Raw genomic sequence first — 12,655 nt, forward strand, 5'->3', positions numbered from 1 at the left:
TCATGTTCATTAAGGTAATTACTACACACTTGTGCTTTTAATCATATTTGCACCTCATTTTTTTGTCTGCAAGAGTAACACTGTAAACAAGCTTGAATGTCAGAGAATAACTCTTTGAGCCCATGTGAAAACTACAAAGAAAGGTCTTTGTAGTAATGACAATATACTGAGAAATGATTTCTTCAGGGGATAGGGAAGAGGACCAGGGTTTGTGAATGAGGCGGAGTTCACAGGAATCAAGGTAGACTTTAGCCTCATCTATAATGCATTATTTTAAAAGAATGTGTAACGGCATGTTTTGGGGTACCTAAATTTTATTTCAGAGGCAAGGTCTATGTTGCCCAGGCTGAGTTCGAACTCCTGAGCTTAAGTGATCCTCCCACCTCAGCCTCCTAAGTAGCTGAGATTACAGGCACACACCACTGTGCCTAGCTTTTAATTTTTTTAAAAAGAGAAAAGTATAAAATACCATACTTTGAACTTAGTATTTTCTAAAGCATTTCTGTTTTTTATCTATGATATGGTTATGGACAATTTATTTTTCATCTGATTCCCATAAAACTTTTACTCTTCTTCAACAAGGTCACCAATAAATTGTTTTAACTAAGAATACAATGAAATAAAAGGAATTCTTTATCCCTAGGACCATACTACACCTCCTCCCGGAAATGCAGACTTAATAAGGCTAACCAAAAAGATAAAATTGTCAGCTCTAAAACTATTACCTAAGGTAAAAGATCATTTGATCATTTATATTAATAACAAGGACTCAACAATTCAGGATGTGTCTTATTAAATGCTGCTGTTCTTTGGTGGTTTCAAATCCTGATGAAGTAAATCCAGTTACTTCAGTAATAATCTCTCAATCATCCCTCGTTAGCCATTTGTCAGCATTCCTAAGTAACTCGTGGTATAAAGAAAAATAATATAAAAATCAAGGCACTGTGATTACTCTTCCCCAGATGTATATAATACAGACCATTCAGAGCATGCTATCCCAAACTCTTCAGTATTCTACAACATAGAATTAGAAAACTATCATTTATTGATAGATTTAAGGTGTAATACAGGTTTCCAAAAATGTGGCAGTGAGAATACCAGCATAAAAAAGAGAAACTTGTGCTAAAAACAACCTGAATTCATCATTGGCAATATTACATAACAATCAAGGCCCTCACATACTAATGATTTCCACTTTGTCTATATTGCCAACCTCCCATGCATCAAAAAAAAAAAAAAACCCACAAGATTATCAAACTTGGGAAGCAATAAAGTACTCTATGAATTTTAAGATCATAATATTAGGAAAGTTTGGTCGATTTGCAAAATATATCCTCATCCATGTGTACAATCTCATTTCTAATCATTTTTGCAGTGATCATTAGTGAATAAAGAACAGATTTACAACTTTATATAGCAGGGCATCTGGGTTCAACACAAAACTGTTACAAACGTTAGGTAAATACACGTTTCATAAGACACTGCTAACACTTAAAGGAATTAAATAAAATTCCAAATCTTGGAAAGCAAATAAAGACAAGACAACTAAGAAGCATTTTCCACCATTTACTCTTGTTATCAAAAATAGTTCAACTCTTCTTGCAAAACAAAAACAAAATAGTACATACTGGACACATACATCACATTTTTCTTCCTATGGCTTTAGCCCACCCCCACCCCACCAAAAGAGACCAAAAAAAAAAAAAGAAAAAAAAGCCCAACAACAACAACAAAAACAACTCTACCTGACCACATTCACAGAAAATGACACCAGGATACACTACAAAACAGAAGGAGGTGTCATCTGCTCTGTGTCCAAAGGTTTCTTCTCCATGTCTTGTACTAGGCGAGTAACCATCATTGAACATGCTGTGTGCCAAATCAAAACATAACTTCAGCATATGTCAGATCTTACTAGAGATGGTGAACGTAGTAGAAATTGGAAATTTTCCAGCAGTATTTTTCTTTAAATAAGCACTGTCAAAGCTGCAGCTCTTCTTTTAAATCACAGGTTATTTCATTACACCTAGTCAGTCCTTGTTTTATTTGGGCTGTGCTCTTTCAAGCAACTGACTAGATTTCCCTTCAACAGAATGTTTGTGACTCACTTGTCTTCCCCATAAAAATTAACCGGAAGAAGTGCATTTAAACTGAAACATACTTTGTGCTTTACATGCAAAAGAGCATTCTAAAGAAAATCCTCCTAGCTTCAACCTACCTAAATGCACAGGCTTTATAAAAAGGCATTCTTATTAGGCCTCTATAAAGAAGCCTTCATAATGAACAGCACCCTAAAAAAAAACTAGGAGCATATTCAAAATAAAGACTGTGGCAAATAAACTATTAGAGAAAATAAGTCAAAGTGGCGGCCAGTGGCAATAAGTACAATACACAAATCTGGGCAAGTCTGGGAGCATTATTCCAAAATTATTTTAAGTAAATCCCAATTACTAAATAAAATCTTTTTATAATTTTAAAAAAATTCTGTCACATACTACATAGTCTAAATTTAATTACCTTCAGAATAAAACTACTCTCCTTCATTTATCCAATTAGAACACTGCTCAAAGTGAAGGAGGGATTTAGAATTTCTTCCCTAGAAATGAGTAACAGCTAAACATTTGTAGTCTGACAGAATTTTACTTTTTAAAAAGATTTCTTAAACATTCTAATGAGGGGGAATTTTTTTTCATAATACTGCTGATTTAAGAACTGCTACATACACCAGTAGCCAATATTTCATGATCAGAAATGGTATGATGTCAGCACAAAGGTTGAGCTGGACACATCAGCTTTCCAACAGGAGAAACATCAATGACATCTGAAGGCAGCACTGAGTTTCCTGAACTAATGGCTACTTTTCCACAAAAAAATTAGCACAATCTTTATGGACTGACTAGATACCACTTCCTTACATTTAATCATAAACTTTGATTATGCACAAAGCATGGCCATAAACAATGAGGTTAATGTTATTTTTCTTGCCAAAGTTCATTTTGTATAAATCAGTTGCATCAGCTTTGTTCTCAAACTATGAGGTTCTGTAAGAACTAAGGACATATAGTTGTAGGGTTACTCCTCCATTATCTGCAAACTATTTCCCCGACACTAACACATATAACTTAGCAATGAAAACACTTGATACAAGTGATCTATATGCAGGAGCTCCGGCAAGTTAAACCAACAGAACCATAGCTGCCGTAAAACTGTAGCTATTTCCCTACCAGGAGTAGGTTTAAAAGACCCACTGATTTAACAGTCGAATCTCATGTCTATAGCTTCATCCAAACTTTTATCATCATGTGTACTGGCAGCTAAAAACGTCGTTACTGGGGACCCTGTGACATTTATTACACTGGTGCTGGTACTAGCGTTACGCACAGCAATGCTAGTCACGTTAATGCCCAAAGTGAGCCTGGTCTGCTCCAAGGCCTTTTCTGGCACGGCAAATGCCTCCAGCTTCTTCTCCCCATTGGCCATATAGGAGTTTTGGCAGCCACGACATATACAATCTAAGCAGGCTTTGCGGTTAGAGTAGCAAGGGCAGCGTTGGCCTCGGCATGTAAGAACACTTGGATTTTGAGTAGCACGCCCACATTTACACCCTTTCTTTTCCTGGGGTTTTTTGTACACAGTCTTGGTAGGACTTCCTGGCATAAAATGATGACTAGGAATCTTTTCCTTTACTGCTTTGTCTTTTTTAAGAATACCTGGCTTGGTTTTAGAGTGAGATTTCTTGGATCCATGTTCATGACTCTTTTTCATGCTTTTAGTAGATAAAAGTACAGTTTTGCTGATTTTAGGTGTTGTGCCTCCATTGGGAACAGTTGCTATAGGTTGAAGAGAAATTTTGCTCTCCCGTTTCACTGTCACAGGAGCAGATGCCCCCAGTGTTGGGCCTCGGATAATGGTAGAAATTGGAAGTGGCTGAACTTTCTCACTGTCACTCTCTGATCTGGATCGTTTTCTATTCAATTTTGCTATCTTCGGAGTTGCTGCTGTACATGATAACCCATGAAGTGCAGGACTGGTGGACATAAAAACATTATGGCTAAGAGACTGGGAAGAAAGCTGCAGAAAAGGTCCATTGGATACAGTGGCTTCCAAGTTCGGCTGCAAATTAGGGCAACAGACCTCTGTATTTGAAACAGTTTCTAAGCTGCGGAGTACTTCCTCAACACTCAGTAACAGAGAGTCTCCAGGTTTTATATCTTCACTGAAACTGCAGATATCAATGCCTGTGGAACATAAGTCAGTGGCTACTGTGTCACAAACGGGTGGCAGGCTGTCAGACAGATCCTCAGTTTTTATGTCAACAGTATTACATACGTCAATCGTATTTGAATGTTCAGGTGAAGGAATATTTATACCAAATCTATCTATTGAAAGCCCATTATAAGTAGGCAAACCATTGATAACAGAACTGCCAATAGCAATGCTGAGGGTGCTTTCAGACATTGGAGATAAACTAGCTTGAGGATCAGTTGTGGGTTCTGAGGTTGAAGGTAAAGGGGAATGTGTCAAACACAAAGTAAAGGATGAATCTGAGGGTTTTTCTGTCTCCTCACAAAACAATGATCCATCATTAAGCAAAGCCAAAATATCAGAAGAACAGTCAACTGCTTCTATTATATCCCGTGCCAGTGTAGTCTGTGTTATATACTCGCATAGTTTTTTGTAGCAGTTCACTAGGATGCTTAACTGCTTGTTTTCCTCAAACTGCTCATAGTCTTTGCACCAGCTACAGGAAGGTTTCATCATCATTTTCTTGCCTTTACAAGTTTTGCAGACATAATGTTGGCAGGTGGAGTTGGTGGGTGCAATAGGATCTTGTAGCAAATGTCCTAAGGGGGAGAAGGAGGAAAGCAAAGATTTTAGTAAAATAAATTTACCATTTCATAAACTGAAGTTTAGATGACATAAGTAGTCTATCAAAATTGAGATGAATTAAACTCACTAGACCAGATAACAGAAAATATATCTTAGAAGAAACGGAAGAATCTTCAATTAGCTCGCTTGATTTCATGCCATATTCCCCATTCAGTTATCTCAAACCAAAATCATCCTTGATTCTGTGTCTCTCTCCCCAAGCAATACGTTCTGGTCCACCTTCTTATCCTCTTCCTCCAAAGGCTATAAAGTTAAAGAGGTGAAGATCAGACACCAGAAGCACAAACTAGGGTTAAAACCCTTTGGATAGCCAGGTGTGGTGGTGTGTGCCTGTAATCCCAGCTATTCAGGAGGCTGAGGTGATGGCTTGAGCCCTAGAGTTCAGGCTACGGTGAACTATGATCTTGCCACTGCACTCCCGCCTGGGTGACAAAGCGAGACCCTGTCTCAAAAACAAAACCAAAACCCTTTGGACCTCAACCTAACACAACATGGCAATGCTACAACATGCTGAACAAAATCATATTGATTATTTTTTGCTGGACACTGGGGAAACAGATATGAGTAAGAGAGATTTAGTCCCTGCCCTCATAAAAGATAGTCTTGAGGGCATTCATCAGTAGAAAAGTATCTTCACAGAAAAAAAAATTTTTTCAACCAGTTTTTAATGCATATATACTAATCATAAACTTTAAAGAAAAAAGATCAAAATGTCATTTCAGGCCGGACACAGTGGCTCATGCCTATAATCCCAGCACTTTGGGAGGCTGAGGTGGGCGGATCACCTGAGGTCAGGAGTTCAAGGCCAGCCTGGCCAACATGGTAAAACCCCATTTCTATTAAAAATACAAAAAAATTAACCGGGCATGGTGGTACGCACCTGTAGTCCCAGCTGCTAGGGAGGCTGAGGCAGGAGCATCACTTGAACCCAGGAAACTGAGGTAGCAGTGAGCTGAGATCACACCACTGCAATCCAGCCTAAGCAATAGAGCGAGACTTAGTCTCAAAAAAAAAAAGGCCAGGTGTGGTGGCTCATGCCTGTAACCCCAGCACTTTGGGGGGCTGAGGTGGGCAGATCACCTGAGGTCAGGACTTTGAGACTAGCCTGGCCAACATGGTGAAACCCTGTCTCTACTAAAAACGCAAAAATTAGCCGGGCAGGGTGATGGGCACCTGTAATCCCAGCTATTCAGGAGGCTGAGGCAGGAGAATCCCTTGAACCCAGGAGGCGGAGGTTGCAGCGAGCTGAGATTGTGTCACTGCACTCCAGCCTGGGCGACAAGAGCAAAACTCCGTCTCATTTAAAAAAAAAAAAAAAGGAGTTTCAGTAGGAGAGAACTATGTTCAACTACATTAAAACAAAGAAAAAAGGAGTACTACTCAACTCAAATTCTTCTAGAAAAAAATACAAAATGGAAAAAATTATATTTAAACTTATTAAAGAAAACAAAACTAGGGTATAATACTGGGCTCAAATTCTTCTGACAGATTTCAAAACGACCATGGTTTAATTATAAACCACAAGTATCCTAACTGCGACAATACAGTATAATGAAGTAGTCCCCCGACTTGACACAATTCTCAAATTATCAATGACATATACATACAAACCAAGAAGGGAAAGGAACTAGACCCAGTTCCCATCTCCACTCTTACTCTCCAAAGCTGCAACTGCTCCTTGGTTCCCAATCCAGACAAATGGTCAGCAATTACCCAAAGCGGTACCTCTTCTCATAAATCACACAAAGAATATGTTCAACCACAACAGAAATTAGAAATCAGTGGGAAAAAAAAAAATGAGAAAAATCCCCAAGTATCTGGAAATTAAACATATACCAAAATAACTTATAAGCCAAAAACATCATAAGAGAAACTGAGAAAACATTTACCAAATGAAAACACCACATATCAAAATTTGGAGAATGCAACTAAAGCAGTGTTTAGTGGGAAATCTATAGCTCTGAAAGTCTGTATCAGAAAATAAGGTCTTAAGCTAGGCACAGTGGCACGTGCCTGTTGTTCTAGCTCTCTGAGAGGCAGAGGTGGACACTCATTTAAGCCCAGGAGTTCAAGACCAGCTTGGGCAAGACAGCAAGACCCTGTCTCTAAAAAAAATTATAATACATTTTAAGAAAGCGGCTGGGCAGGGCGCAGTGGCTCACAACTGCAAATCCCAGCACTTTGGGAGGCCGAGGTAGGCAGATCACGAGGTCAAGAGACTGAGACCATCCTGGCCAACATGGTGAAACTCCATCTCTACTAAAAATACAAAAATTAGCTGGGAGTGGTGGCACACGCCTGTAGTCCCAGCTACTCGGGGGAGCTGAGGCAGGACAATCGCTTGAACCCGGGAGGCAGAGGTTGCAATGAGCTGAGTATGGTGCCACTGCACTCCAGCCTGGCGACAGGGCAAGACTGTCTGGAAAAAAAAAAAAAGACGCTGGATGCGGTGGCTCATGCTTGTAATCCCAGCACCTTGGGAGGCCAAGGCACATGGATCACCTGACGTCAGGAGTTCAAGACCAGCCTGACCAACATGGTGAAACCCTGTCTCTACTAAAATAACAAAATTAGCTGGGCATGGTGGTGCATGCCTGTAATCCCAGCTACTTGGGAGGCTGAGGCAAAAGAATCGTTTGAACCTGGGAGGCAGAGGTTGCAGTGAGCGGAGATCGTGCCATTCATTGCACTCCAAGCCTGGGCAATAAGAGCAAAACTCCACCTCAAAAAAATAAATAAATAAATTTAAAAAAAGAAAGGGGTGTCCATCTCAGGGAGACCTGGCCTTCAGAGATGACAGCATTCAACCCCAAGAGGAGCCTGCTTTTCATCCTCAGCCTTCCCAACCTGTGCCGCCCATGGGGATACAGGACAGTAACGAGCTAAACAAAACCTGCTGCCTGAATGGGGGGAACTTGTATGCTGGGGTCCTTTTGTGCCTGCTTCCCCTCCTTCTACAGACGGAATTGTGAGCACCATGTACGTATGCAAAGAGAACTGTGGGTCTGTGCCCCGTGACACCCGGCTGCCCAAGAACTGTTCTATGTGTAAATGCTGGCATGGCCAGCTCCGCTGCTTTCCTCAGGCATTTCTACCTGGCTGTGATGGCCTTGTGATGGATGAGCACCTCATGGTTTCCAATACTCCAGAACTACTACTGTCTGCATGTACCACTCTTATGCTTTAAAATAATGAATACATTTCCATAATGGTCTCTAACATTTCCTTATAGTACCAACTACTTCTTACCTCTCTGCCCTGCCCTCCCCCAAAAAACTACCTTTTTCAAAAGGAAATCAGCTATATCTCCACTGTGCTGGAGTCCAGTATTTCTTGATACATGTAATTCTACCAAGGTCTTCTTAATATGTTCTTTTAAACAACTGAATTATATCTTCAGATTATTAAAGATTAATCCTAATGCGAAACTTAGGATACAGTTTTGAGTACAGCTGATCAAAATCAAAGTAGTCTCTAAAAGGAAAAAAAGCCTCTTTAAGGGGAGGAACCAGAGTGCTGAAGTAATGGAAGTCCGTCTGCATGTGGAAGGAAATGGGAAGCAAATGGGAGAGGGAGGTTGGAAAACATAAAATGGGTTACTTGACTGGTGATTAGGTGGGTGTAGAGAAGCAAGTTAAAAGGCTAAATGGAAAGGCAAGTTTCCATCATCTACAGAAAGCTATATAAGACAAGGGCTCCCCCTTTTTTCCCAAAAGCATTGTAAAAAGAATGAAGTCTCCTTAGAAAAAAAATTATGCCTCAATATCCCCAACAAGATGGCTTAATAAATTATGTTTCTGGCCGGGCACAGTGGCTCACGCCTGTAATCCAGCACCTTGGGAGGCCAAGGCAGGCGGATCACGAGGTCAGGAGATTGAGACCATCCTGGCTAACACGGTGAAACCCCATCAATACAAAAAATTAGCCGGGCGTGGTGGCAGCCGCCTGTAGTCCCAGCTACTCGGGAGGCTGAGGCAGGAGAATAGCGTGAACCCAGGAGGCGGAGCTTGCAGTGAGCCAAGATGGCGCCACTGCACTCCAGCCTGGGCGACAGAGCCAGACTCCATCTCAAAAGCAAACAAACTAAATAAATAAATAAATTATGTTTCCTCCAAGCTATGCAATCCTTTTAACTGTTGAAGAAGAGAAAATGTTCACAATATATTTAGTTGTAAACCGAGTGATAAAACTACATATTGTAAAGCCCATTTTTAAAACACACTGTATATATGTGTATGCACAGTAAAAATAGAAAATATAAAAAATAAAAAAGCAAAGTCTCAAGTCAATAACCAAAGCTTTCTTTCACCTTAATAGGAATCCCAAACTAATCAGGTTAAAGCAAATAATGAAGATTAGAGCAGGCCACAGTGGCTCACACCTGTAATCTCATCACTTTGGGAGGCCAAGGTGGGCTGATCACCTGAGGTCAGGAAGGCGGGCCGATCACCTGAGGTCAGGAAGGCGGGCCGATCACCTGAGGTCAGGAAGGCGGGCCAATCACCTGAGGTCAGGAGTTCGACACCAGCCTGGCCAATATGGTAAAACCCTGTCTCTACTAAAAATACAAAAATTATCCAAGGGTGGTGAACACCTGTAATCCCAGCTACTCAGAGACTGAGGCAGGAGAACTGCTTGAACCTGGGAGGAGAGGTTGCAGTGAGCCAAGATAGTGCCACTCAACTCCAGCCTGGGCGACAGAGCCAGACTCCAACTCAAAAAAACGAAAATAAATAAATGAATACAGATTAGGGCAGAAACCAATACAAGAGAAAGCAGAAAAACCAAAGAGAAAAATAAATAACACCAAAAGTTGGTTGTTTTAAAAGATCAAAGAAAACAAGAATACAAATTACCAAAATTAGAAATGAAAGGAGTCAGAGTATCACTAGTGCCCTACAAAATGTGAAGAATTAAGGAAGCCCTATGAACAACTTTATGCCAACAATTTTAGACTACTTCGATGAAATGGATACATTTCTCTAAAGACACAAATGACCAAAATTCACTGGAGAAAAAGTTTTAAAACTGAATAGACCTGTAATAAAAGTTTTAAATAGCCACTGAAGATTTTCCTCAAAAGAAGACTCCAGGGCTAAATGCCTTCACTGGTAAATTCTAACAAATAATTAAAAAGGAATAACACCCAAACATAGAGGAGGAGAAAACACTTCCCAACTCATATTTAAAGGCCAGTAACTACTATGAAAGAAAACAAGGCCACCAGACAAAAGAAAATACAAACCGCCGGGAGCAGTGGCTCACGCCTGTAATCCCAACACTTTGGGAGGCCAAGGTGGGCGGATCACCTGAAGTGGGGAGTTCGAGACCAGCCTGACCAACATGGAGAAACCCCATCTCTACTAAAAATGCAAAAATTAGCCGGGCGTGGTGGCGCATGCCTGTAATCCCAGCTACTCAGGAGGCTGAGGCAGGAGAATCGCTTCAATCCAGGAGGCGGAGGCTGCGGTGAGCCGAGATCATGCCACTGCACTCCAGCCTGGGCAACTAAATCATCTCAAAAAAATTAAAATTAAAAAAAAAAAAAAGAAAATACAAACCAAAATCTCCCATAAACATGACAAAATCCATAACAAAACATTCAAGAGAATTCCACAACATATAATACAATACCTATTCACACACACACACAAATTCACAAACGAGAAATTGAACTTCTTTAACTTGATGGTGGTGGGCACCAAAAAATCTAAAGCCAACTTTACTTAAAGGTAAAACACAACGCTTTCCTTCCAAAGATCAGGAACAAGGAAAGGATGCCTGCTGTTGCCACTTCTTTTCAAAATTGTACTTGTTCTAGCTGGTGCAGTAAGGTTCAAAAGGAAAAGAAAAAAAAAGGCATCAAGACTAAAAAGAAACAAGTAAAATTGTTTTAGTAATGGATTACACAATTCTGCTTACAGAAAATCTCAAAAAACGCACACACGCAAACTACTAGTACCAATAAGCAAATTTAGCAAGGTCATAGCACAAACAATATATACAAAAGTCCACTGCATTTTCCATTTCTATATGCTAGGAATGAACAAACTAATTTTTTAAAATTCCATTCACAATAGCATCAAGAATATACTTAAAATATTTAGAAAAACTTTAACAAAGACTTCTACACTCAGCACTACAAAACACAGCTGAAAGAAATTAAAGAGTATCTAAACAGACATGTTCATGGATTAGAAGACTACCAATATATTGTCAAGATGGCAGTTTTCCCCAAAATTGATGTGTCTGTAAGTTCAATGCAATCTTTAATCCCAGGCAGCTTTTTTTCTTAAAGAAATTGACAGGCTGATCCTAAAATTCATATGGAATCACAGAGGACAGGCAAAACAACTTTGAAAAACAACAAAATTACAGGACTTACACTACCAAATTCCAAATTTTACTATAAAGCCATAGTAATCAAGACAGTGTGGTAATGACAAAAGTATAGACACATGCATCAGTGGAACAGAATTCAGAGTCCAGAAACAAATTATTACATTTATGGTCAACCAATTTGTGCGACAGGGTATCCAGATGATTCAATGGGGAAAGGAGAGTACTTTCTTTTTTTTTTTTTTTTTTTTTTTTTTTGAGACGGATTCTCGCTCTGTCGCCCAGGCTGGAGTGCAGTGGTGCCATCTCGGCTCACTGCAAGCTCCGCCTCTCGGGTTCACACCGTTCTCCTGCCTCAGCCTCCCGAGTAGCTGGGACTACAGGCGCCCGCCACCACGCCCAGCTATTTTTTTTTTTTTTGCATTTTTAGTAGAGACGAGGTTTCACCGTGTTAGCCAGGATGGTCTTGATCTCCTGGCCTCGTGATCCGCCCGCCTCGGCCTCCCAAAGTGCTGCGATTACAGGCGTGAGCCACCACGCCTGGCCAAGGAGAGTATTTTCAACATACCATGTGAAACAATTTGATATCCAAATGCCAAAAGGAAAAAAACAAACTTATACCCTTACCTCACAACATACACAAAAATTAAAATGATCACAAACCTAAATGTAAGAGCTAAAATATAGAAATTCTAGAAGAAAACGGAGAAGAAAATCTTTGTAACTTTCTATTGGCCAAAGTGTTCTTATACGTGACATCAAATGCACAATTCACAAAAAGGAAAAAAAAATAGTTAAATGGATTTTCTCAAAATTAAAAACTTACTGTGCTTCAACAAAAGACACCATTAAGAAAATGAAAAAATGGTCAGGCGAGGTGGTTCACACCTGTAATCCCAGCACTTTGGGAGGCTAAGGTGGGCAGATCACGTGAGGTCAGGAGTTCAAGACCAGCCTGGCCAATGTGGCAAAACCCTGTCTCTACTAAAAATATAAAATAAAATTAGCTAGGCGTGATGGCACACGCCTGTAGTCCCAGCTACTCAGGAGTCTGGGGCAGGAGAATTGCTTGAATCTGAGAAGCAGAGGTTGCAGTGAGCCAAGATGGTGCCAATGCACTCCAGCTTGGGCGACAGAGAAAGACTCTGTCTCAAAAAAAAAAAAAAAAAAAAAAAGAGGGAAGGAAGGAGGGAGGGAGGGAAGGAGGGAAGGAAGGAGGGAGGGAGGGAGGGAGGGAGGGAGGGAGGGAGGGAGATCAAAAATAAACCACAGACTGAGAGAAAATATTTGCAAATCACAATTAAAAAAAAAAAAACAATGCAAGCCAGGCGTGGGGGCTCACTCCCAGCACTTCGGAAGGCCGAGGCGGGCAGTTCAGGAGTTCGAGACCAGCCTGGCCAACACAGTAAAACCCCATCTCCACTAA

General features: G+C 40.4%; 1 protein-coding gene and 1 pseudogene across 4 annotated transcripts in view, besides 1 other annotated feature; one reads left to right on the top strand and one right to left on the bottom strand.

Moving 5' to 3' along the window:
• Positions 1,023–12,655, bottom strand: part of MSL2 (MSL complex subunit 2) — a 47,419-nt gene continuing 35,786 nt past the window's right edge. For 3 of the 4 annotated variants that reach the window (NM_018133.4, XM_011512949.3, NM_001145417.2), the window contains exon 2: positions 1,023–4,844. In NM_018133.4, the coding sequence (NP_060603.2) occupies positions 3,253–4,844 (1,592 nt within the window). In that variant the 3' untranslated portion in view covers positions 1,023–3,252. Of the gene's footprint in view, positions 4,845–4,957; positions 5,587–12,655 lie in introns of those variants that run through there. The other variant, XM_005247571.4, reaches the window with a different exon arrangement.
• Positions 7,654–9,150, top strand: CRIPTOP6 (CRIPTO pseudogene 6; annotated as a pseudogene).
• Positions 9,459–9,958: an enhancer, noted in NCBI's record as "H3K4me1 hESC enhancer chr3:135876195-135876694 (GRCh37/hg19 assembly coordinates)". NCBI's record gives its function as "activates a minimal SCP1, AML or CMV promoter by ChIP-STARR-seq in primed H9 embryonic stem cells {active_cell/tissue: H9 hESC(primed)}" and the evidence as "EXISTENCE:reporter gene assay evidence [ECO:0000049][PMID:30033119]".

This window comes from Homo sapiens, chromosome 3, assembly GCF_000001405.40.
Source record: "Homo sapiens chromosome 3, GRCh38.p14 Primary Assembly".
Taxonomy (NCBI): domain Eukaryota; kingdom Metazoa; phylum Chordata; class Mammalia; order Primates; family Hominidae; genus Homo; species Homo sapiens.